We start from the raw sequence: 26,728 nt of genomic DNA on the forward strand, positions 1-26,728 counted from the left end.
TGCAGTAAGCTGAGGTCATGCCACCGTACTCCAGCCTGGGCAACTTGGTCTCGGAAAAAAAAAAAAAAAAAAGAACTCTAGCCCCAAACTCCTCAGGGAGACCCCTTTGAGGTTTCCTCCCATCTCCTCATTTAGCGGCTCCACAAGTAAACCTTTTTCTGCTGTAACTCGGTGGCTCGGTATATTGACTTGCCATGTGCATCGGGCAAGGAACCTACTACTGTTACACTTTTGCCCTTCAAAATATATTACTGAGAAAATGAAAATGCACAAGTTGGGAGAAAATACTGTAAATCGTATATCTGATAAAGAACTTACACAAAATAAATTTTAAAAAACTCAACTCAATAATAAGACAAACCAATTAAGAAGCAGACAAAAAAAATTTTTCCTTTCTTTTTTTTTGATTTTTTTGAGACAAGGTCTCACTCTATTGCCCAGGCTAAAGTACAGTGGCACAATCTCTACTCACTGCAGCCTCTGCCTCCTGGGTCCAAGCGATTCTCATGCCTCAGCCTCCCAAGTAGCTGGGTTTACAGGCGTGTACTACCTCTCCTGGCTAATTTTTGTATTTTTAGTAGAGACAGGGTTTTACCATGTTGGCCAGGCTGGTATCGAACTCCTGACCTCAGGTGATCTTTCCGCCTCAGACTCCCAAAGTGCTGGGATTACAGGCATAAGCCCACCGTGCCCAGCCTAAGAAATAGGCAAAATATTTTAATAGTCATTTTACCAAAGAAGATACACAAATGGCTAATAAACACATTAAAACAGATGCTCAACATCATTAGTTATCACAGAAGTACAAATCAAAATCACATGGCTGGGCAAAGTGGCTCATGCCTGTAATCCCAGCACTTTGGTAGGCCATGATGGGCGGCTCTCTTGACCCCAAGAGTTTGAGACCAGCCTAGGCAATATAGTGAGACACCCAAGTAAACAAAATTAGCTGGGCATGGTTGTGTGTTCCTGTAGTCCTAGCTACTCAGGAGGCTGAGGTCGGGGGATCACTTGAGCTCAGGAGCTTAAGGCTTCAGTGAGCAGAGATGGCACCACTGCACTGTAGCCGTGACAGAGCAAGACCCTGTCTCAGGAAAATAAAAAGACAAAATTACATGGGATACCACATCACATCTACTACAATGGCTGTATTAAAATAGACAAACAATAAGTGTAGGCAAGGATGAGGAGAAACTGAAACCCTAATACATTGCTGGAGGGAATGTAAAATTGTAAAAAGTCACTCTGGAAAATGGTTTGTCAATTTCTTTGAAAAGTTAAACATAAACTTATCATAGAATCCAGCAATTCCTCTCCTAGGAATCTACGCAAGAGGATGAAAACATGTGCACACAAAGGCTTGCACAGGAATGTTTACAGTAGTACTTTTTTAAATAGCCCCAAACTGAAAACAATCCAAATGTCCATTAACTGGGGAATGGATAAATAAAATGTAATATATCCATACGATGGGTACCACCAGAAATAAAAAACAATGAAGTACTGATATAGTCTATAATATGGATGAACCTAGAAAATATTATGCTAAGTGAAAGAAGCCAAATACAAAAGACTATACGTAACATAGGATTCTGGACATTTATATGAAATGTCTAGAAAAGGCAAATCTATAGAGACAAAGCTGGTTATGCTTATCTGGGGCTGGGGTTGGGAGCTGGGATTGACTGAAACTAGGCAGAAAGGAATCTTTTTGGGGTGATGAAATATTCTAAAACTGGATTATGGTGATGAGAGCACAACTCCTTAAATTTCCTAAAAATCACTGAATGGTACACTTAGAATGGGAAAATTTATGGCTTGTAGATTATACCTCAATAAAACTGTTTGAAAACAAAAATCTCATGTGACCATGTAGTTCGTGTTAGCACTTATTGTGAAGTGTTCAGCATATTAAACATTCAGAGGAGAAATACAGAGTACTCTGCAAGCATTTTGCTTCTTTACTAAGAGGCAGCCTCATGCAGTAGAAAGATCACAGGCTCTAAAGCCAAGACTGAAAAACAAACATAAAATTCTTCACGCCTGTAATCCCAGCACTTTGGGAGGCCGAGGCGGGCGGATCACGAGGTCAAGAGATCGAGACCATCCCGGCTAAAACGGTGAAACCCCGTCTCTACTAAAAATACAAAAAAATTAGCCGGGCGTAGTGGCGGGCGCCTGTAGTCCCAGCTACTTGGGAGGCTGAGGCAGGAGAATGGCGTGAACCCGGGAGGCGGAGCTTGCAGTGAGCCGAGATCCCGCCACTGCACTCCAGCCTGGGCGACAGAGCGAGACTCCGTCTCAAAAAAAAAAAAAAAAAAAAAATTCTAAGCCCCCCAAATGATTGAATGGATCCACCTTCTCAACCAAGGGGATTCCAAAGAAACCTGAAAGGCCAGTTTAGGCCACCATGGGAAGAGGGGGTCAGGCATGCCTCATCATACCTTCTTCATTCTGGAGTTTAGACAGGCTGACCAGCACTAACTTTAAAACACAGATCCTAAGACAGACAGAACAAACTCTTTGCAGCAATAAGATACCACTCCAACCTGACTCTAGCATAACCTCACATGACAGATAAAGAAGGAAATAAAATATTTTATCCCAAAATATGTTTCTTTGGCATATTTTGAAATGACCCTGCAAAGCTACCTTTTGTGGGGGAAAATCTGCATCTGGAATGAATCTCCTTTTTTTTTTTTTTTTTTTGAGACCGTCTCTCTCTATCGTTCAGGATTGAGTGCAGTGGCATGATCTTGACTCACTGCAACCTATGCCTCCTGGATTCAAGCAATTCCCCTGCCTCAGCCTCCTGAGTAGCTGGGATTATAGGCACCCACCATCCTGCCTGGCTAACTTTTGTACAGACGGGGTTTCGCCAGTTGGCCAGGCTGGTGTTGAACTCCTGACCTCAGGTGATTCGCCGGCCTCAGCCTCCCAAAGTGCTGAGTTTACAGGCGTGAGCCATTATGCCCAGCCTGAATGAATCCCTATTAACATAACTAGGTCTTTCCCCTTCCAGACCCTCCCAATCCTGAAGAGTTTAACTGAGAGTATAGCACCTTTTAAAGGTCTAAATGGAAACATTTGCCATCTATTGTCATCTTTAGCGTAGCCACCTATGAGTCTTCATCTAAACACTAAGAATCTTAGGCTGAGTGGGCTGAGTGCAGGGGCTCATGCCTGTAATCTCAACACTTTGGGAGGCTTAGGCCAGAGGATTGCTTGAGGCCAGGAGTTCAAAACAAGCCTGGGCAACACAGTGAGATCCTGTCTCTTAAAAAAAAAAAAATTAGATGGGCATGGTGGCAAATACCTATAGCCCCAGCTACTCAGGAGGCTGAGGTGGGAGGATTGCTTAAGCCTAGGAGTTTGAGGCTACAGTGAGCTATGATTGCACCACTGCACTTTAGCCTGGGTGACACAGCCAGATTCTGTCTCTCGGGAAACAAACAAACAAACAAACAAACAAACAAACAAACAAACCTTGGTCTCCACAACCCTTTATCTTAACCCAGATACTCCTTTAGATGATAACTCCTTCAACCAATTGCCAACCAGAAAATCGTACAATTCACGTATGACCTGTAAGCCCCCTCGCTTCACATTGTCCCATCTTTCTGGATCAAACCAATGTACACCTCACATGTATTGATTGATGCTTATATTTCCCTAAAATGTATAAAATCAAGCTGTAAGCCAACCACTTTGGGCACATGTCCTCAGGACCTTTTGAGACTATGTTTCAGGCCACGGTCACTCATATTTGGCTCAGAATAAACCTCTTAAAATATTTTATGGAGTTGGATTATTTCACCGACAAAACAATAATGTTAAAACTCCTGCTTCACCACTTACTAGCTGGGTAATTTTGGAAAGTTACTTAAAATCTCTCCAATTCAGTAAAATAGGAACAAGAACATTACGAGTTGCTATGCGGATTAATGATAATATATGTATAATATTATCATTAAGCCCTTGATGGGGTTCAGGACATGCTGCCCCAAAATATGGTACACCTTGGCATTTGAGAAAACAGCAGAATCAGGAAGGCCACTCTCACCTTCTCTGCCCTTTCCCTCTGAAATAGTCCATAAAATAATTCTCTAACTTTCCCCTAAAGTAGGTCCAAGATCCTCTTCAGAGAGGTATCTTCTGTATACCTGGAATAAAGGAATGTTCCTATCCCTGAAGAAAAGAATCTGAACAAACAGGTCTTCCTAAGTTCCCCCAACTCCCATTTATTACTGAGAGAATTTTAGAGATATCCTTTCGTCCTCCAATCATATTTCTCCATGCATCTCCACTATTCATCAAAGTTAACATAAAAATACATAGGTGTCCCTGTTTCTTTGTATCTTCATTTCTGAAGGCTCCCATGTCATGTAAAACTTATATTAAATAAATGTGTGTGCTTTTCTTTTGTTAATCTGCTTTTGTTTTAGAAGTCTCGGACACAAACTTTGTCATGGAAAACAAAAAGATACTACCATTGACCCTTGAACAACATGGATTTGAACTGGACAGGTCCATTTATACACGAATTTTTTTTTTCAATAAAAGTTATACCAAGTGTGCCTGCCTCTCCTTCCACCTCCTCTACCTTTGCCACCCCTGAGTCAGCAAGACCAACTCCTCCTCCTCTTACTCTATGTGAAAACAATGAGGACGAAGATCTTCATAATGGTCCACTTCCACTTAATGAATAGTAAATAATATTTTTTTGTCCTTATAATTTTCTTAGTTACATTTTATTTTCTCTAGCTTGCTTTATTGTGAGAATATAGCATATTATACTTATGACATACCAAATACATGTTAATCAACTGTTTATGTTATTGGTCAGGCTTCCGCTCAATAGTAGGCTATTAGTAGTTAAGTTTTTGGGGAGTCAAAAGTTATACAAGGATTTCCATTTGCCTTTGGGAATGGGGTCAGTCCCCTCAACCCCTGTGTTGTTCAAGAGTCAACTGTACTTTTTTCCCCTTACAAAGCCCTTTGAGATCTGGTGAAACCATCCTCACAGGCTAACAAGAATTACATGCCAAGTTCTGGGCAGAAATATAGTTATAATTAAACTGTAATCAGGCTGCACTTTGACCCACTTCCTTGTAACCAAAAGTCATATAGCACTAGACACTGACCATCTGCCTCCCCACTGTTCCTCTAGATAGGATATCTGACCTTAGAATCATAACGTTTTTGTTTAAGAATCATTTGCATCCCCACTGTTCCTATAGACAGGATCGCTGACATTAGAATCATAAACTTTTTAAAGAATTGCTTAAGATGTGCTTCAGACCCTGAATTACAGTGGTACAGCTGAAGTCAGCCAGTTAAGACCCCCCCCCGCCCGCCCCGACAGGAACGAAATCAGCGTGAGAATGCAGTTCTATCTCCCGTCCTATGACCTCACCCTGCACTCTTCAACCAATCAATGATCCCCAGACATCAGCCCACTCCAAACCCCTTAAAATCTCTAGACCCAAACTCCTCAGGGAGGCGATGTGCGGTTTCCTCCCATCTCCTCTTTCAGCTGCTCTATAATTACTAAACTCCTTCTCCACGGAAAGCCTTGGTGTCAGTGTAGTGACATGCCAGGCCTTAAGCAACAGACCTGTTAGGGTCACACCGGCTTCTGCTAACTTCTCCAGTCTCGCCACATTCCAGCCACAGAGGCCTTCTTTCAGTTTTCTCACACCTGCCAAGCTCTGTACTTCCTGAGAACCTCTGAACACATAGTTTCTTCTGCATAGAAATTTCGTGCCCACTCGTTACTCATATTGGTTCTCTCCTTTTTGTCCTTTAGTCTCAGACTTAATAGTCACCACGTCAGGTAGTCCCTGCCCTTTCTATACTCCTTGGTAAATTATGTCCCTGTAATAATGCTGATTATTGCTTGTAAACTCCCTCTTCTCACTAGACAAAACTCCATGAAGGTGTCCGCCCACCTCACTCTTCCCTTCTCCCTCCCTCTCACCCCTTCTCTGTATATGTGCATGCGTATGTATACCTGTGTGTACATACATCTATGTGTGTCTGTACACATGTTAAAATGTATGCCTACTATACAGGGGTAGACCTGCTAACCAGCAGAGTGCCTGGCATACAGTGGACAATCAACACCAAATTCTATGATTTACTTTTTGTTAAGGTTTACAGAAAAAAAAAAAAGACCATTTACCCACACTCATCAAAGCACCTTTCCCAACACTCCCAAGAGGACTGAGAGACTCATTTCTGTTCCAAAATGCATAGGTATATATTCTCATTAAAGCAACTATCTTACTGTTTTTCTGTTTCTTCCTTGTAGACTGCCAGCTTCTTGAGGGCAAGAATCTTTTCAATTTAATACACAGCCAAGTGGCCGTTTCCTGACTAGCAGTCACACATGTACTCTGAGTTCTCCAAAAGCCCACACCTCTGTTCAACTTTGAAACTTTCAGAGGTCACCTGAACGAACCCATCAGAACTCAGCTATATCAACCAGCTGGAACTAAGCAAGTTTGAATCCTGCATTTGCATAAATAAACCTGGCTGGGAACCAGGGTGAAACTTTTGTTATAAAACCCAAACCCCACCTTCGTTTTACACCAAAGGCTGTGTCTCCCTGTACTGCAAACTGTTCACTGCAATAAAGTCACTTTCCTTCAAATTTCTTTTCCGATAATTTTTGTTTACAGTACTCTGTTCTTCCTGGGAGTGCTTAAAAATAAGCTAATTATACTCACAGCTTTTTGTAAATTTTCACTTAAAGGGGGTAAAAGTTTTTGATAAAAAATAATATTTGAATAATATTTGAATGTAAACTAAGGTGGTATGCTAACTAGACAACAGGAAAATAAAGACCAATTCAAAACCACATACTTAGAAAATAAAAAATTAGTAAACTAGGTATTACAGAAATATAACATATGGTTTAACATCTATTTCACTCATTAATCTAACAAACCTGACATTAAAATATCTATCTTAATGGCATTAAGAAATTATGTTATTTTTAAGAATAATAATGGTATTCTGGCTATGTTTAAAACAGTCTTATTTTGTTAGAGGTATACATGAGATACTTACAGAGGAAATGACATGGCATATGGAATCAGCTTTAAAATATCGAGGTGGAAAGGGCACAGGCAGAGGTCCAGAAGACCTTCCACTGGCCATTTGTTGATTGCTGAATCTGGGTGATGGGGACATGGAGGTTCATCGTACTACTTATTCTCTCTATTGTACATATTTAGAAACTCTCATAACAAAAAGGGAAAATAAAGCTTTTAACTGCCTATACATAAAAGAAAAGATTTTGGCTGTCACAGTTCAAGTTCATTCAAAGAACTGTCAATCTCAATTAAAAGACTGAACAAGTATATCACCTGTCACATTAAACCTCACATTAATCTCTTTAAAGATTGTAAATCACAGATCCATGAAGAATTTTCCCTCCTTCTGTTCCTCTCTCCCGCCCTCTTTTAGTTTTACTATAATAACCACTGCTCTGGGGTTTCAGTAGCCAAGTGAGATCTTTTGCAAGATACTTGTATATTCACAAGACAGATGCACAGAATTCCACAGGTTTACTGACAAGTGACTGAAGGATGTCCAATGCATTACCTCTAGGCACTGTTCACTTCTGGCAGGCCTCCACTGGAACCCAGTATCAGCCCAAGCAAACCCCAGGGGTCAATTCATAGTATTGTCACTATTGACTGTCTTCCAGCTGCACTGTGAACTTCCTGGGGGCTAGACACTTGGTCTTAATCTTTACATCCTGCACTTAGACTTAGCAGGTACAGAATAAACTTTGAGGAATGAGGGAACAAATCTGTAAATCTCAAAGTTAGTGCTCATCCTAACACTAAATATCTTCAAATTTTTCCCAAAATTACTTTAATTCTACTATTGCACATTTGTTAATAAACTGTTTCTGAAACCACAGTTTGAGTTCTGAAGCCAATTTCCATGTGAATAACTACCTTAATTTATAAGCTAATAAATTATCTTAATTTATTGTTTTCATTAAAGAAAGTGACACCCTGTGGCTAATCAAAGATTTAGGAGTCACATAAACAGGAATTATAATTAGCATGAATTCATAATTACAAAGACCTTAACATTTATTCCATATTTATTGTATGGCTAGCACTGTTATTTCATTTTTTTCTCATACAAATGAGAAAAAAAACATATTGTTCCCATTTTATAGCTGAGCAAGTAGACTTCAGAGGTTAGGTTACTTGCCCAAGGACATGCAGCTATAAGTGATAAAGGTGAGTCAAACCCACCCAGTGTGTCTAACAGCTTTTCAGCAGCCTGAGTGATGGTCTTCCTTTCATGGTTGTAGCAGACTTCTCCCCACCATATGTATTTTGCACAGAAAACTCAGTTCTGTAACATGGAGAGGTTTCAACTTGATTTTTCTGTTGTTCCTATATCTTTATATATTACAAGACAAGAAACCAAACAATGGAAAACAAGTCACTTAACCTGTTTGCCTTGTCTCTGTAGTAATAATAGCTTACTCTTATATACAGCACTTCTACGTAAATACCAGGCACAGCTGTAAACCCTTTATGTGTATCAATGCAGTCTTTAAAGCAATTCAAAGATGTAGGTCCTATTAATCATTTTCATTTTTCAGAGAGGGAACTGAGGCTCAGAGAGGTGAGATAACATCCAAGCTAGCATTTCAGCACTCCCAGTCTGGCTCTAGATTCCATGTTCTTCTTTTTCTCTTTCTAGAGACAGAGTCTTGCTCTGTTGCCCAGGCTGGAGGGCAGTGATGTGATCGTGGCTCACTGCACCTTCAACCTCCCTGACGTAAGTGATCCTCCCACCTCAGCCTCTGGAGGAGCTTGGACTACAGGTATGCACCACCACAACCAGCTAATTTTTTAATTATTTGTAGAGACGAGGTCTCACTCTGTTGCCCAGGCTGGTCTCTAACTCCTAGGCTCAGGCGATCCTCCAGCCTTGGCCTCCAAACATATGGGGATTACAGGTGTGAGCCACCACACCTAGAATTCCATGTTCTTAATCATCTGCTACACTGCCTAATATGTACACATATATTTGGGTTAATCTAAAATACATGGTTTAAAGATTAAACCATGTTTATCCCCTAAATAGTAGCAAGGCTATTGTCCACTTACTTTTTTTTAGGTATGTTTTATAGTCAATATCAAAATCAAGAAAATTACAATGATCAACATTAGTTTACTGAAGTAGACATTGTTCTTTTACATCTTTATCACCATATAGAAAATTTTTGATACATGATATATACTGAAAAAAACTCAAAGACCATTTTAAACTCAATAATTAGATTTATCAAATCAATAACATTTCTGGGGCTAATTAACTCTAATAAGAGATTATATAAATTACAGTAAAGAGTCCATTGGAAAATCCTTAAAAATGAAAAACAGAGTATGGTCAGTCTATAAACAATACTAACTTTAACAACAGGAACAGAGGCTCCCAGCACTATTTTAAAAGACAAAGAAGCAGCCTTTGTTTAAAAGACAAGGGCGCAGTGGCTCACATCTATAATCCCAGCACTCTGGGAGGCTGAAGCAAGTGGATCACCTGAGGTCAGGAGCTCAGCCTGGGCAACAAGAGCAAAGTCTGTCTCAGAAGAAAAAAAAAACAAACAAAAGGAGAAGCTCTGCTCCTTTGTTTTCTGTTTTGTTTTGTTTTCGTTTGTTTGTTTTTTGAGACAAGGAGTCTTGTTCTGTCACCCAGACTGGAGAGCAGTGGTGCGATCTCGGCTGACTGCAACCTCTGCCTCCTGGGTTCAAGCAATTCTCTGCCTCAGCCTCCCGAGCAGCTGGGATTACAGGTGCCCACCACCATGCCTGGCTAATTGTTGTATTTTTAGTAGAGATGGGGTTTCACCATCTTGGCCACGCTGGTCTTCAACTCCTGACCTCGTGATCCACCCACCTCGGCCTCCCAAAGTGTCGGGATTACAGGTGTGAGCCACCGCGCCCAGACTCTCCTTTGTTAAAAGAAAATAAATACAGACGGTTAAGTATTTCACAGGTACAAACAGATCATGTCTCGGGAGATGCTCACATCTTCAAAATCGGAACAGATACACACACCAGAACCCCATGTGGATTCTCTGCATCACCACAAAAACACAAAGAGTTACAAGGAGAAAATGCAGAGGCTCCATAAATGGATGGTTTCCACAAGCACTGGCTGAGGGCCTACTGTGTGCAAAGTGGTACAACAGCTGCTAAAGACACAAACACTGGTGGAGGCATCCTTATTCATCTCACATCCTTAGCATGGGGCAGAGTAGACAGCAAGAACAGTAAACACAAGTCTTTCCTAGATGGATCACCGGATTTCAGTATATGCAGGAGTTGCCTGGGGGAAAGAAGACTCTCCTAGACAGAAGAATAAGTGAGGCTGAGCAGGGAAGGACGCACTATCACACGAGGGAGCTGTCAAGGTTCTGACATCTAAAGGTAAACACAGTACCATCCATATAATTTTAGATGCCTTGTTATTCACTTATTTCAGTTTGCTCTGAGCATATTGTTTTCACCAAAAATTATTCGAAGTGAATCTATTGTCACACTCTCCAGTGTGCACAGAAATAAACATTCCTCAGCACACAGAGCACTGCCCTCAGCAAGCTGTTCCGCTCAAATGCTCAAAAAACTTTTGTGGGGGAGGAGGAGGAGGACAGTGAAGTGTCTAATCATTCAAAGGAAGAGTTTCTCTGGAATTACTTGGTCATGAAAAAAACGCAAACCTACTTATTAGCTGGTGGTAGGACCCTCTAATATTTCTCTCAATTAAAACAAAGTGTCCCAGCTTTCCCAATATTCTTCAATCCAACCCTAAAACAAGAGTGACAGGTTTCTGAGTATGGTCGAATGTTTTCCACCAGTTATTAGTACTAATTTTTTCTGAACAGACAGTTGAAAACAGATTTATTTCACAAACATAAACATAATTTCCTGCTATATGTTCTCTGAATACAGAGCACTTGATACTGCCATACTAGCCCAAACTGTCCTATTCCAGAAACCAGTGATGTTTTCACTCTGTTCCTTCTACACAAACCGAATCCACTACAGGAAAGCCAAGCTGCGTGTGACTTTCATGAAAACCTTTTTTAAAAAACTTATTTGGGCTATTCCAGTGTTAAATTTGAAGGAAAAAAAGGTATACAGTAATATAATATAAACCTACTTACCACAAGTCTGAATAAACAAAACAAATTTGTTATTTAGGGTGTAATACAAGACAAAATCCTCTGAAGGTAATTATTAATGCTGAAACAAGACAATCTGAGAACAGACTGAATATGAGAGAAACTAACAAGTAAAAAAGAAAACCAAATAACCCACTCTTCCCTACCACGTTGCCACCATTCTCCAAAATCACTTGTTATGGGCAAGAGACCACAGAACAACTTCTCTTTAATTTTATGGTAACATTTCCAGTTGTAACTGACATTTTGTCTCACAAAGGAACAAATTAATGGAATCAGCAAAAGTTGCAGGGAAAATGTCGCTGCTGAAAAGTGACCCCTGGAAAAGAAGAAGTAGCTACCAGAGCTGTGGGACCTGGAGGCCAAAACAGCTTTCAGTGTGACATATGTTTTCTCTTTGAGTTTTATGAGAAAAACACTTTTCAAAATACTGTCTGGTCCAAGATACACTCAGCAAATTATACTCATGGAGGGGAAAAAACACTGTGCAGATAACCACAACTTAATAGGATGAATAGATGTGGGAGGTGCACCTCATGAGCTTTTGAGGGGGACCTCCCAGAAGAGGGAGAGATGGGGCAGTTTCAGAGGGAAACAGGAAATAGCCCTGTGAGGTGAAGAGCATAAAGAAATGGACTCCATGAAGAAGGGTCAGTGTGCACAAAAGCTGATGCAAGATGTTGCGCTACGTGCTGCTGGCCCATGAGCTGTGAGACACAGAGGAGGAGGAGACACAAGTATGGCCCTCGGGATGACTTTTGTCTACTATGGTAAAGAGCCTAGACTTAATCCTAGACCACAGTTTTCTAAGATATTATAGGCGAGACCATTTAGGTGGGCAAGGACAGTTTTATGTGTTTATGGTTGCTATTAACTTCTTTTTCCTTTTTTTTTTGAGACAGAGTCTTGCTCTGTTGCCCAGGCTGGAGTGCAGTGGCACTATCTCGGCTCACTGCAACCTCCACCTCCCGAGTTAAAGCGATTCTCCTGCCTCAGACTCCCGAGTAGCCGGGATTACAGGCACGTACCACCACGCCCGGCTAATTTTTGTATTTTTTATTAGTAGAGACAGGGTTTCACCATGTTGGCCAGGCTGGTCTCAAACTCCTGAGCTCAGGTGATCCGCCCGCTGTGGCCTCCCAAAGTGCTGGGATTACAGGCATGAGCCACCGTGCCCGGCCTATGGTTGCAATTAACTTCTATTCATGTCAAGTGATATTGGTTTTCCATTTATAATAATAAATGTATTTTAGGCTGGTAGCAGTGGCTCATGCCTATAATCCCAGCACTTTGGGAGGCCAAAGTGGGGAGATCCCTTAAGGCCAGAAGTTCGAGATTAGCCTGGCCAAAGTGGCAAAAACTCCATCTGTACTAAAAATTAGGTAGGCATGGAGGTGTGTGCCTGTAATTCTAGCTACTCAGGAGGCTGAGGCACGAGAATAGCCTGAACCCAGGAGATGGAGGTTGCAGTGAGCCGAGATCACACCACTGCACTCCAGCCTAAATGACAGAGCACAACTCTGTCTCTAAAAAAAAAAAAAAAAAAAAAGTTGTGAAAGTGAGGCTCAAATGACTGAGACATCGCTGTAAGAACTGGAGAGCCACTGGAAGAAAGCAAAGAGATACAACTCTGTTACAGAACTCCATCCACACAGACGACATGTATTGGGTGCTATGCCAATCACTATTCTAGGCCCAACAGATAGAGCAGAGAAAAGCCAGATAAATGTATGTTAGGTTTACATTTTAGACAAAAAAGAGGATCCAGGTCACAAATAAAATAAACCCAGGTAAAGAGAGAGAGAGAATGATATACAAAGTAAAATGTGGAGAGCCTTGAGAAAGCAGCAGAAGGGAACGAGCCAGGCCACCACCTACAGGAAGAGCAGGACAGGCGGTGGGAAAAGCTGGAGGCCTGGTTGGGCCTATGGGCCTGCTGGAGGGAGCAAAATGGCTGAGAGCTGCAGCAGAGGAGCCAAGGCCAGAGAGGGAGCAAAGGGCTGGGCCCTGCAGGGCCTCGCAAGCCAGGACTCGGGAGGTATTCCACATGTGATGGGAGGCCACAGAGAGTTTGGCACGAGGAGGTGATGCTCTCTCTGGAGGGTAAGTGCAGAGGCAGGAAGCCCAGGGAGGATGCCCGCACGGCAGCCCAGAGGAGAGACAACAGTGCCGAGTGTAGGCAGTAGTAGGGGAGGCAGGAAGAAACGGTGAGAGGCAGTTTGTGGGCAGCACTGGCTGGATTTACTGAAGAACTGATGTGTAAGGCAAGAGAGGACTCATGCAGCATTTTTGTTGATGTCTCTTATAGCCTAAGCCTGGGGATGAACAGCGCTATCATCTAATGAAATGGAGAAGACAGAAGAGCCAAGAAGCAGGCAGGATGAGACTCAAGACTGCAGATTTTGACAGGTTGAGTTTAAGATGCCAGTGAGCACCATCACAGGACTCTTGAGCGGAGAGCTGGATAAACCAGTCTAGAATTTAGGGGTGAGGCCAGGATTGGAGCCAATAGCATTGGGTGGTATTTAAAGCCTTGGGACTGAATAAGAATGCAGGAGAGAAAAGGCCCAAGGATTAACCCCAGAGGCACTTCAACATCTCCGGTGGGAAGGTAAAGAGCTTGGACTGAATCCTGAAGTGTAGTTCTCCAAGTGTAGTTTTCCAAGATATTGTAGCCAACATAATTTGGGTGGTAATGTCAGTTTTATTAGTCATGTGTTTACTTTTACAGGCAAAAGGGATTAAGGAAAAGAATAGTGAAGTATGTGGACAGTACGAACAACTGCCAGACGATTCTGCAGAGAGGTGAGCACTGATGGTGCAGAAGAGAGAGGACAACGCTGCCAGAGCAAAGCCCTTAGGCAGGAGAGAAGGAAGGAGTCCAGCGCCTACACTGAGGGGCTTGCTGTGGAAGCAGGGACAGTCCCCACGGTGCCAGCGAGGAAGCCAGAGTAAGCCGACGCTGGGAGGAGGGGGTGTTAGTGCAGGGAGCACAGAGCCCTTCTCTTCTGACTGCTTCCAGTTCCTCAGTGAAATCAGAGGAAAGCAATGAGGAATGGGATCAGGGAGGGGATGTCCCAGTTTGAGAAAAGAGCATTCTCCTAGTGCGCAGAGGGGAATGTACTAGGATTGCCAGCCTGGATGAAGGCTTTCTAGTGAATTGTGGACAACATCTGAAGTGAGAACTCAGGAAAGGATGTTATGTTTTCTTCTAGCTACATTCAGCTGCTCGGGGGCATACACCATGCAGGCAGGATGGAATTTAACCAATTACATTTTTTCCAGCAACAGAGGGAGAGAAAAGTAAGGAATTATTGCATAGTACTAAAAAAATTAATGACTTATATGGCAAAATATTGAGTGGTCATTTCATGCTGTAAATCAAAATAAGTTCTAGATTAAGTAGAGTTAAAGTAATAAGTAAACTATAATAAAAACTGGAAGAAATAACAAGCTAATATTTATTTCTTAGGATTGGGAGAGAATCTTCCATGCAGAAAAGCAATGGAAGGTATCATTAAAAATATTCATTTGATGCCCAAAAGGTATGTGAAAAAAATGCTCAACATCACTAACCATCAGGGAAATGCAAATCAAAACCACAGTGAGGTATCATCTCCTACAGTCAGAATGGCCATTATCAAAAAGACAAAGGGTAAGTGTTGGTGAGGATGTGGAGAAAGGGAAACTCTTAGACACTGTTGGTCAGACTGTAAATTATCTCAGTTGTTATGGAAAACAGTATGGAGGTGCCCCCAAAAAACTAAAAATAGAATTACCACGATTCAGCAATCCCACTACTGGATATTTACCAAAGAAAAGAAAATCAGTATTTTGATTAGATAGCTGCACTCTCATGTTTCTTGCAGCACTATTTACAAAAGCCAAGATATGGAATCAACTAAATGTCTATCGACAGATGAATGGATAAAGAAAATGTGGTATGTATACACAATGGAGTATTATTCAGCCATAAAAAAGAACAAAATCCTATCATTTTCAGCAACATGGATGAGCCTGTAAAACATTAAGTGAAACAAGCCAGGCATAGAAAGACAAGTATTGCATATTCTCACTCATATATGGAAGCTAAAAAACTTGACTGCATAGAAGTAGAGACTAGAATAGTGGTTACTAGAGGCTGGGAACGGAGAGTTAACCAGATGTTGGTTAACAAATACAAAATTACAGAGAGGAGGAACAAGTTCCTGTGTTCTATAGCACTGTAGGGTGACTATAACAATTTATTGTATATTTTCAAATAGCTATAAAAGTGGATTTTGGCCAGGTACGGTGGCTGACGCCTGTAATTCCAGCACTTTGAAGGCCAAGGCGGGCAGATCATCTGAGGTTAGGAGTTTGAGACCAGCCTGGCCAACATGGTGAAACCCTGTCTCTACTAAAAATACAAAAATTAGCTGGGCATGGTGGCAGGCGCCTGTAATCCCAGCTATTTGGGAGGCTAAGGCAGGAGAATCACTTGAACCTGGGAGGCGGAGGTTGTGGTGAGCTGAGATCGTGCCACTGCACTACTCCAGCCTGGCCGACAGAGTGAGACTCCCTCTCAAAAAAAGAAAAAAAGAAAAGAGTGAATTTTGAATGTTCTCAATGCAAAGAAATGTTTGAGGTGATAGATATGCTAATTATCCTGATTTACTCATTACACATTACATATATGTATCAAAACTTTACAGTGTACCACACAAATATGTACAATTATGTGTCCATTTAAAATAATAAAAGCAAAACAATTCATTTGAATAAAAAATATTACACTTCTGTGTGTAATAACCACGCAAAATTAAAAGGCAAATAATTAGTTGAAGATAAATATCTGCAATAAATATGACAATTTGAAACCCTTAATATGTAACCCCTTCATTCAAATCTACAAGTACACTAAAACTGCAACTGAAAGCAGCCAGAAGCAAAAACAGTTCATAACAACAATAAAAAGCCGATAAATCACATTTTACCTCCCGTCACACCTCAAACAATAATCAAATTTTATTTTTGCTTTCATATTAGTAAAGACAAGAAAAAAATACTCAGGTGAGGGTCTATGAAATAGATAAAGTCACAGACATTGCTAATGAAAGTATAAACTGGAACAACCCTTCTAAAAAGCTAACGATGAATACACACCAAGAGCCTTAAAAAATGTAATACACTTAGGCTGTAAAAAATTGTGGCCCTATCTATGTACGTATAGAGATGCTTATTACAGCACAAGTTATGCTTAGCATAAAACTGGCAACTACCTAAATTTCCAACAATAGGAAAACAGTATGTTAATGACATGAGGCAATGCTCATTTCATAAGGGGAAAAAACAGGAAACAAAATTGTTTGTATGCTATTCCAATTTTGGATGATATGTCTATATATGTGTGTGTGTATATAAACCTCAAAAATGTTTGAGGCTATTGCAGACTAGTGATTCAATTTTTTTCCCAGAAGCTTTTTAAATTTTCCTGTCTTCAATGGGGATGCATTGCTTTTACAGTTATTTTAAAAATAAAGACTAGGGGCACTTTCATGTTAAAAAGATCTGGGCATTGTAGTTAAACATGAGCTGACTGGCAGAAAAGGTGACTAAAAAGCTATAGTCACAGTCACCGTTTCTAGAAGACTGTGCAGGTACAAACACCATTTTTATATGGGGTATTGGAAAACTAGCATGGGTCTAGACAAGAATGACCAGGAGAATAAAGCATCTACAATCAGCTACCACGAAAAGAAAAGGTCAAGGAACTACAACTCTGAAGCCTTAGAAGGTTGGTAGAGAGTGTGAACTGTCAACACACCACGTAAACACCTTCAGGACTGCTCATAAACGGACTCTACATGGGACGAGGTGTTGGATGACAGGACTTCAAAGTTTTTCTAAGATACAATGGCTAGAAAGAAGTAGAAAAGGGGAGACTGCCAGAAATTCTTTTTCTGTTTTCTTTTTTTAGACGGAGTCTCACTCTGTGGCCTAGGCTGGAGGGCAGTGGCTCCATCTCGGCTCTCTGCAACCTCTGCCACCCAGGTTCAAGCAATTCTCCTGCCTCAGCCTTCCGAGTAGCTGGGATTACAGGCACCTGCCACCACGCCTGGCTAATTTCTGTATTTTTAGTAGAGACAGGGTTTCACCATCTTGGTCAGGCTGGTCTTGAACTCCTGACCTCGTGATCCACCCGCCTGGGCCTCTCAAAGCGCTGGGATTACAGGCATGAGCCACCGCGCCCGACTGTTTTTTTTTTTTTTTTTTTTGAGATGGAGTCTCGCTCTGTCACCCAGGCTGGAGTGCAGTGGTGAGATCTTGGCTCACTGCAACCTCTGCCTCCCAGGTTCAAGCACTTCTCCTGTCTCAGCCTCCAGAGTAGCTAAGACTACAGGAGCATAACACGCCTAGCTAATTTTTGTATTTTTAGTAGATACAGGGTTTCACCATGTTGGCCAGGCTGTTCTTGAACTCCTGACCTCAGGTGATCCACCTGCCTTGGCCCCCCAAAAGTGTTGGGATTACAGGCATGAGCCATCGCGCCCAGGCAGAAATTCTTTTAAAACTGTTACGCAGAAATCAGCATCTGCAATAGAGAAGATTTGACTTTAAGAATGGTCAAATATTTCCTGTCCAAGGGGGACACAGTGTGCAGAGGGGAGCTAGAGGCCTTACTAGTCTTTCTTCTAATCCTGCCCTGAGCTTCAACCCACATCTCAAATTCAGAGGAATCTTTCCAGGGTTCTGCAGCATAAATCAGCATCTTTTTTTTTTAAACACTGGGTTTTATTCTTAGAATAGCCCTGTATTAAAGGAGCATTACACAGCAAGACCAGGAAGCAGTTCAAATACAGTTAAAGATGAAATCTCAATATGCTACTTAGCTATTCAAAGTTTGCGGTATAGAAAGAGAATGGGGGAAAGGGACTGGATATAAATGCAATACCTAAAGAACACTGAACACTATGGAAACTCAAAACTTGTCTAAATTCTATTGTTTACATTTTAGCACGTCCCAGGAATGACTGTGGTGAAGTGAGAAAAACACAGGTTTTGAGGGCAGACGTTCCTGGGTTTAAATCCCTGCTGAAATGCTTACTAGCTGGGTGACTTGTTTAACTCTCTAAGTCTCAATTTTCTCATCTCACAGGGTTGTTTTGATACTACTTGAGATACTGTGGTACTAACTATGAAATGCAAAGTACAGAGCTAACACATGTACATGCCTAATAAGTAGTTTCTTTTCACTAATTTATTAGAGTTTTAATAGAAATAAACAGAATTATACTTATATACCTATAATGGTATGACTGATATTCTGTGCCACATTAATTTTACTAAATGAAAGAAAAAAATCCTGGTGGTTATTTATTTTTTGATCACATCATTGCAATTACTACGATAATTCTTATTACATATACTTTTATTTTCAGTTAAAAATAAACATAATTAGAACTGATGAGTCATCTTCATGTAGTAAGTTTCTGACTGTTCAATTCCATTTTATCTACCATAGTATTTATTTCATAGGTTTTCAAAACTGGAATTAGAGACTTGAAAGTGAATAGCATATTATTAAGTATCCTATGCTACTCTTTTATACAACACTTTAAATGATTCTTAAGAATACAAAGGGATATTAAATAGTTCAATATTATTCCAATGCTTCTTTAGTTATTTCCCCTATCTTAGGGTAAACACCATTTTCCTTCTCAAATAAAAACAAATTAGCCAAATTTCAAATGCTGATTCATTTTATTTTATTTTAGAGACAGGGTCTTGCTCTGTTGCCCAGGCTGGAATGCAGTGGTGCCATCATAGCTCACTGCAGCCTCAAACTCCTGAGCCTCAAGTGATCCTTCCACCTCAGCCTCTCAAGTAGGTAGGGTTACAGGTGCATGCCACCATGCCCGGCTAATTTTTAAATTTTTTTGTAGAGCGGGGGTCTCATTATGTTACCCTGGGCTGGTGTCAAACTCCTGGTCTCAAGCGATCCTCCTGCCTCGGCCTTCCAAAGTGCTGGGATTACAGGTGTGAGCCACTGCTCCCACCCATATACTTATATTTATGCTATAGGCATACCTTTACAGGGAAAGCCAGATGAATATTTAAGTAGGAGTGAGAGTTTCTCAGCTCAGTTGGCCACTTGACTTCTCCCCTACTCTAGAAGTTTATAAAAACCATTAGGCAACTACCAATCTTCTGAGAAAAGTACAAACTCCATCCCAGTTGCCTTCAACAGTTTAATCAGCAGAGCTACAAGATCCCACAGGTTATTTTCCAGCACACACCTCTAAAAAGCTAAGACAAAATCATGAAGCTCCATATGAATTCAACAGACAAAGTCTCTTGTTAAGGCTGACAGCTAAAATTTTCAAAGATTTCTTTTTGTGGTTTTAAAATTTAGTTTTCTGAAAGGTATAATTTTTGCTGTCAAGTTATACCATGTTCCAGCAAAAAGGTAATGAAACAGAATAGCTGTATTTATTCATGATACCAAACATTTATGATAGACAACAAAACGTTGTCCTGATTCACTTCTAAAATACTCTATTGCTATAATTATTGATCATACAATGGTGGTATATGATCATTACAAGAAATCCCAGAAAAGTAACATTTAAGCATCACAACCCTAATCTTGATGCTCTATTTTTATGTAGTTTAATACCTAAACAAGCTGTTAAAGTGCCAATTCCCCTTCAATATAGAACATCGTCTTAGAGAATTTCAGGTCATGCCCAGTATGACAACTTAAGACATGGTATTAGAATAAACAATCAACTCCGTCTTAGAAATAAACTGTCTTAGAGCCAAAATTAACAAACAGGATATAAATATTTTGGTATTACAGGATATAGATACTAACTTTATTTAAACACTGTTACATAAATATAAGCCAGCTTTTAAAAAAACGAATATACACTTAACATATATTGACATATGAGAAAAAGATGAGCAGACACCTCAAAAATCTTGCCAGTATTTACCAACAAATCATGATTTTCAAGGAGCAATTTCTTAGATGAATGATCTAAAATATTAAAATTGAATATCAGATTATACCTATATGCAGATCTTTACTCTTAGAACCATTATTTAAGATAATGACTGAGAGAAGAGAAAATATGTCATTTATCATACATTCCCTATAAGTAAATACTTTAAAAATAAATGCCAAAGTTCTCACTGATAAGTTTTTTCCTGAACACTTAATAATGAATAAGAATGTGGTAAAACCTCTAGTTAGAATTTGATTCCATTAATGCTCCAATTTTATAATGAATTCCTGAGCTATCATTTTACTTCTGTTAATATGTCTATCTAAGCTTGAAAGGTTTTGCTATGTTATACATACACAGGCGTGAGAGAGGGACACAAAGAAGGAACTTTTCTCTTAAGTTTGATATACCTTATTCAAATTTGTAATATTAAAAAGAGAATAACCTTGATAGATGAGAGACAACATGTATTTCTTTTTTTTTTTTTTTTTTTTTTTCATTTACAGAGAAGTGGCTTCTACCTGACAAGGCATGATGTATATAACATGCCATAACGTATGCCAACTAAAAGAAATAACAGGGAGTTTTAAAAAATGCAATCACTATTAAAAATTATTCCTCAGTTACCACCCCCATGGATAGTACAATAAATTACTCAACAAAAAATGCACAGTTAATTTTTCAGGTATTTTTTGCAGTAAGTTCCACAACTTCAATATCCTTATATATGTATTTATATATATATATAAATACCACACAGAGATGTCATTAAAACCACAGCCTCTGGCTAACAGATAAGGAATACACTGAAGTTATATGAAATTATGAAAAGAATATATATATATATATATATATATATATATATATATATATATATATATTCAACCTGTATGAAGCATTATGACATTTTTCAAAATCCATATTGAAAATCAGCCATTTTAGATAAATCCATATAGTACCATAGAATGAATTTTAACTTTATACTATCTTTGGATATGGCTCACATATTTAACTCTATTAACTGCCTCTTGGAAAATGAACATACTAGCAGCAAGGGATGCCGAATTAGTTTTATGGAGCTGTACCAGCCTCATTATTCAAATAGCTAGTATTATTTTCCTGGTATTTTATATTTATCTTTTAATACAAATATTGCTTCATAAAAAATGTCAGTTTGATTAATTTCACCTGATGCATGAAAAGACACATATTGTAAAAAAAAAAAAAAGTCCTACATTTCCATGCAACATTTTAAACTTATTTTAGGTATTAATTTAGTAATTATTACTTGTTGGTAATAGAAAGAACTAATAATGCTCTCATAAAAATGTACTACTTGTAGGTTCAAGTCAAGTTGAAATTTAATTTCTGCTTTTTAATAATATATCATCTGCATACCATGCAAATACAGCAATGTATCCAGGCATGGAAATAAACATTTCAAAGGAAAGCAGCAAAGGAAAAACAGAAAATAAAGTTCCACCTACAGGGATCCCTCTGACTATTTTCGGTGAGTCCTGGAGATGACATGGATGTGAGACCTGAAGGAGTGAACAGAAGCTCAGTGCTGGTCAAGTGAAGCCTCCAGTTACCAGGCAGCTGCCCTCACGTGCATCTTCTGGGATGTAGAACAAAGGAAGTGAGGCTGAAGCCAGAAGCAGGTTTTTCCAAAGAAATTGTAGTAAGCCTATTAGTTTTTTGCTGATGGCTTAAGCAGATATACATTGGAATCTACTGCCTCTATAAAAGCAAAATGCAAGCTCTCAGGGGCTCTAGTGTGCAAAGATGTATGCACCGGTCTGGGACCATACCAAATGCAGCTCAAAATGGAGGGGAGGGAAGGCTGAAAATAACTAAATCCAACAGAATTTGTCATCTAGGTACAAAGATGCTTTAGTAACACAGCAAAAGAGAGATGAAATCTTGCTGTTTGAAAGTAGTAACATAAAAATTAAAAATATAGTTCATTTCATAACACACAAGGCATCTATAATTTTCCCCTACCTCATTTTTAATGTAGCATTAGCCTAAAGGTTTTTTCAAATTCAGCAACACTAACCAGTGGCTTGGAATGTGCTATATATTTTTAATAAGTATCTTAAGTCATCAATTCTAATAGTTACAAACACTTCTCCACAAATTTTTCCTTTTTGAAAATAGTATGGTCTAAATCCCACTCCCGCTGGTCCCCTCTGAATCACAGCTCCATCAATCAGCCACTCTCACTGTATCTTCAACCTCTCCCTCTCTATAGCTTCTGTTCCTTTTTCATACAAATATACTCAACTTCCTCCCAAAATTAAAAAAAAAAATCCTCCCTTCAACCTAACTCTCTCCTCTAACTATTCTTCTTTCCTTCCTTTAGCCTTAGCTTTTGAAAGCATTGTCTCTACTCCCTCATTCATTTAAATATTTAATAAGCACCAAAGTGCCAAGCACCTGAGTCACAATGGTGAACAAGGCAGAACAGTCCACTCATTCCAATCCTCTGCCATCTGGTTTCTACCCCCAGCACCCCCACACACAAACCCATGCTGCTGAAAGTGTCCTCATTAAGATCACCAATTAGCTTCTCAGGCTATATTTCAGTTTGCCTTCTCCACAACAATATGACACTGCTTCTTGACATGTCCTTGAAATGTTCTCCTTATCACATTTTCCTCTTTGCCTCCACTATGGGCAACTAGCTCTCTTCTCGTGCCTGTCTGGTGAATGTTGGTGCTTCCTAGATTTCTATGCATTGTCAACTTTTTTTCATTCTGCCCTGTTGTTTGTGGGCAACGTCATCCAAACCCCGGGCTTCCATTCCCACCTACATGCTGGCTACTCTCAAATCTAGCTCAGATCCTTCTCCTGAGGTTCAACAGCCCATTGGACACTTCCACCTATAATGTCTTACAGATACTGCAAATTTAACATGCTCATGGTGAAATTCACTCAATAAGAATGAAATATTAAGGAATAAATTTAAGACTCACATATTGAAAACAACAAAACTGCTTAGAAAAACTGAAGATGGCTTAAACAAACATGGATACATTCCATGTTCATGGATTGAAAGACTCACTATCATTAAGATGACAATTTTCCCCAAATTGATCTATACATGCAACACAACCATCCCTATTCAAGTCTCAGTAGGCTCTTTCCTTTGTTAGAATTGTCAAAATGATCCTAAAATTTATATGAAAAGACGAAGGACCTTAAATATTAAATAGTCAAACCAATTTTAAAAAGTAGTAGGTTGGAGGACTTAGACGTCCCAATTTCAAATCTTACTACGAAGCTACACTAGTCAAGGCAGTGTGGCACTGGCAATAAGGAACAAAGTTGAGAGTTCAGAAAAAAACTCTTACATTATGGTCACTGGTTTCCTACAAAGGTGCCAAAGCAATTCAATGGGGAAAAGAAGCTCTTTTCAAAAAATAGTTCTAAGGCTTGTGAGGGAGACTTCGGGCATGGTGCAGCCTAGAGCCCCAAGGTCTGCCAAAAAATGGTTCTGAGACAACTGAATATCGATACGTAAAAAAATGAAGGTAGACTTTTAACTCACACGAACACAAGGCTTAACTGAAAATGGATCACAGACCTAAATGTAAGAGCTAACTAGTGTTGTCAAGGATGAGGAGAAACTGCAGCCCTCACACACTGCTGATAGGAACGTAAAATGGTACAGCCATTTTAGAAAACAGTTCAGCAGTTTCTCAAAAAGTTAAACACAAACTTGTCATACAATCCATATATTCTAGTCTTAGCTATATACCCAAGATAAATAAAAATGTATGTCAACACAAAGACTTGCATAAGAAAGTTGATGGCAGCATTATTCAAAATAGGCAAAACCTGGAAACAATCCAAATGTCCATCAGCTGCTGAGTGGATAAACAAAATGGGGTATATTCATACAATGAAATATTAATTCAGCAATAAAAAGGAACAATATAGTGACTTTTTATTCTACTCAGTTTCCTGAATCTGTGTCTTTCCCTCCATTCTAGCAATGGCTGAATTCAAATCTAATAGTTTCCCAACTGATCTTTTTTAGTCTAGACCTGATCTTCTCTAATCTATCTCCTATATGATTCCAGAAAACTTGCTTTAAAATGCAAATCTGATCCTTCTACCCTGATTGAAACCCTTGGGAATATCCTACTCCCTATCCGGACTCTATCAGCTACAATAACCTTTGAGCTCTTTTTAATCATGCACCCCTGACATATGCATGAATTCCTGCTCTAATTTATTACATAATATACAGAAAATTGACATTTAAAAGGATGACATAAAAAAACAAAAATTCCAGTTTCCTCTCTCCTCCTAATGCTCTGCATGCCCACATTCCTCTTTGAAGACCACTGGCCTAAAGGGAAATGTCCAAGTTCCTGTGTATGGCATTCAAGGCTGGGTACCAGTTGTTCCTTGCCTCTCTGTCCAACTTCATCCCTCATCACTTCACCCCACACACCATATGCTTCAGCCAGGCAAATTATTTGTGGCTCCTTCAATAAATAAGAAATTAAATTTTAACTTGTATTCTTGAAATAAACATATATGCATCTTTACAACTGTTCTTTCCTCTTCCTGGAATGTCTTTGTTATCCTTTCTAGCCCAGTGAGTACTCGTCATTCAGATCAAGTGTCATGACCTCTCTCTGGTTAATTACTCCCACCTTAGTGTACTTATTTCTATTATTTCTATATTATATTCAAATTATATATTTGCCTTTCTAATCTATAAGCTTTGCCACAGTCCTTTAGCTCCCTGAGGACAGAGGACAGTAACATCATCCAACCTGAGTCACTTAAGTATTGTTCAATGGCAGCTGAATAGTTTTGTCTCACACGTTAAGCCAACTCTTGAAGTGAACCAACAAATTCTACTGAAGTTTACCACCTAGCATCATCATCCCTATCTGTAACATGCTAAGGGCTGCCAAGCCAGTAATATGCATAAGCCACATCCACGAGTCATCCAAACAAGTGAGACTCCTCACAGCCTCAGAAGTCTCCAAGTCAGATGACTTGGTGCCTTCTATTTTTACTCAAATTTAGCCATCATCATCACTGGGAATTGCTCCCCTTCTAAGATTTCAAACTGAAATCTCTTCTTTGACCACAAGATCCACCTCAACCACTAAAAGTGTTCTTCCCCTTTACGGGGTACCTCACCTGTACCATTCAGCCTGCTTATTCTGCTGGTCTGGTCAGGCCTCCCCTCTCTCTAGTCAGAACTCCACAGCCAATCATTTCAATCATAGTCTCACTAGCATCCATGGTTACCATGCCTGCTGGCCCATCTTACATGTCTTCCCATTTCCAACTCTGTGTTAACCAAAGCATATTTGTTTTGCTTTTTTATTTCTGCTTCTGAGCCTAGCCCTGAAAATTCAGATTATCATTCCTTACGTGAATTCTCAAAAAATTATTTAATCCTTCCATGTCAACTTTTCCCTATATTATCAGCCATCCTTTCCTTCTCTAAGGTCTTAGGAAAAGAGACATCCCTGGATACTCTCCAAGGATAACCTATCTGGATACCACTTCTTTCCATTTTCTTTGGTATCATAATGACTCCTTCAATATCTTCAACTATACCTCCCCTGACTTTGACCCGGATCCCATCTCATTACATTTTCATTTTTTTCTACCATTCATGATTGAATAGTTAGTTCATGTCACCTTTATTTCCTAACTACTCATACACTTCTTTTTTTGGAGACAGAGTCTTACTCTGTTGCCAAGGCTGGAGTGCAGTGGCACAATCTTGGCTCACTCACTGCAGCCTCTGCCTCCCAGGTTCAAGCAATTCTCATGCCCCAGCCTCCCAAGTAGCTGGGACTATAGGCGCCCACCACCACGCTGGGCTAATTTTTTGTATTTTTAGTAGAGATGGGGTTTCACCATGCTGGCCAGGTTGTTCTCGAATGCCTGACCTCAAGTGATCCGCTTGCCTCAGCCTTCCAAAGTGCTAGGATTACAGGCGTGAGCCACCATGCCCGGCCTATTCATACACTTCTGATTTTCAATTCGGATTCAACCTTTACAAACAGCTCTTTCAGGTCACCAATGACCTGTTCATTGTCAAATCCAACAGGCTCTCTCCATTCAGCTCAACTTCTCTGCATTACTTATATTATGGATAACCACCTTTCCTCCTTTAAACTCTCCTCTGTAGTTTTTTTGTCACTACGTTGCCTTAGTCTTCCTGTTTCTCTGACCACTTTTGTCCTACCTCATCCACTGGCTCTGCTTTCCAGAGCTAAGTCTTCAATGTCTTATGTCTTTAAAGACTATGAAAGCTTATGTACTCTACATGTGCTTACAATAATGGAATTCCTTCCCCATTAAAAATATAAAATAAGGACTTTTATGATCCTATCCTCTTTTTCTGCTGTCTAATATTTGAGTGATGTCACTAAAAATTTTAAATGAATGCAGTATTTGGGGAACACAGAAAAATTTCCTACTGCCAATATTAAAATAAGAACAACAACTGGTTTCAATAATC

The 26,728-nt window shown here is 39.8% G+C and overlaps 1 protein-coding gene across 9 annotated transcripts in view, besides 2 other annotated features; it reads right to left on the reverse strand.

Moving 5' to 3' along the window:
• The window catches only part of DTNBP1 (dystrobrevin binding protein 1), a 140,252-nt gene that overhangs the window by 41,205 nt on the left and 72,319 nt on the right, over positions 1-26,728 (reverse strand). Inside the window, exon 1 of one of the 9 annotated variants that reach the window (XM_011514937.3) lies at positions 21,708-21,977. The exons of the other annotated variants lie outside the window; for them this stretch is intronic. Within the exon in view, the coding sequence (XP_011513239.1) occupies positions 21,708-21,750 (43 nt within the window). The 5' untranslated portion in view covers positions 21,751-21,977. Of the gene's footprint in view, positions 1-21,707; positions 21,978-26,728 lie in introns of those variants that run through there. 9 annotated transcript variants of the gene reach the window in all.
• Positions 8,193-8,393: a silencer, noted in NCBI's record as "peak5681 fragment used in MPRA reporter construct". NCBI's record gives its function as "represses an SCP1 promoter by STARR-seq MPRAs in K562 erythroleukemia cells {active_cell/tissue: K562}" and the evidence as "EXISTENCE:reporter gene assay evidence [ECO:0000049][PMID:32103011]".
• Positions 19,273-19,473: a silencer, noted in NCBI's record as "peak5682 fragment used in MPRA reporter construct". NCBI's record gives its function as "represses an SCP1 promoter by STARR-seq MPRAs in K562 erythroleukemia cells {active_cell/tissue: K562}" and the evidence as "EXISTENCE:reporter gene assay evidence [ECO:0000049][PMID:32103011]".

The sequence above is a fragment of the Homo sapiens genome, chromosome 6 (genome assembly GCF_000001405.40).
Source record: "Homo sapiens chromosome 6, GRCh38.p14 Primary Assembly".
Taxonomy (NCBI): domain Eukaryota; kingdom Metazoa; phylum Chordata; class Mammalia; order Primates; family Hominidae; genus Homo; species Homo sapiens.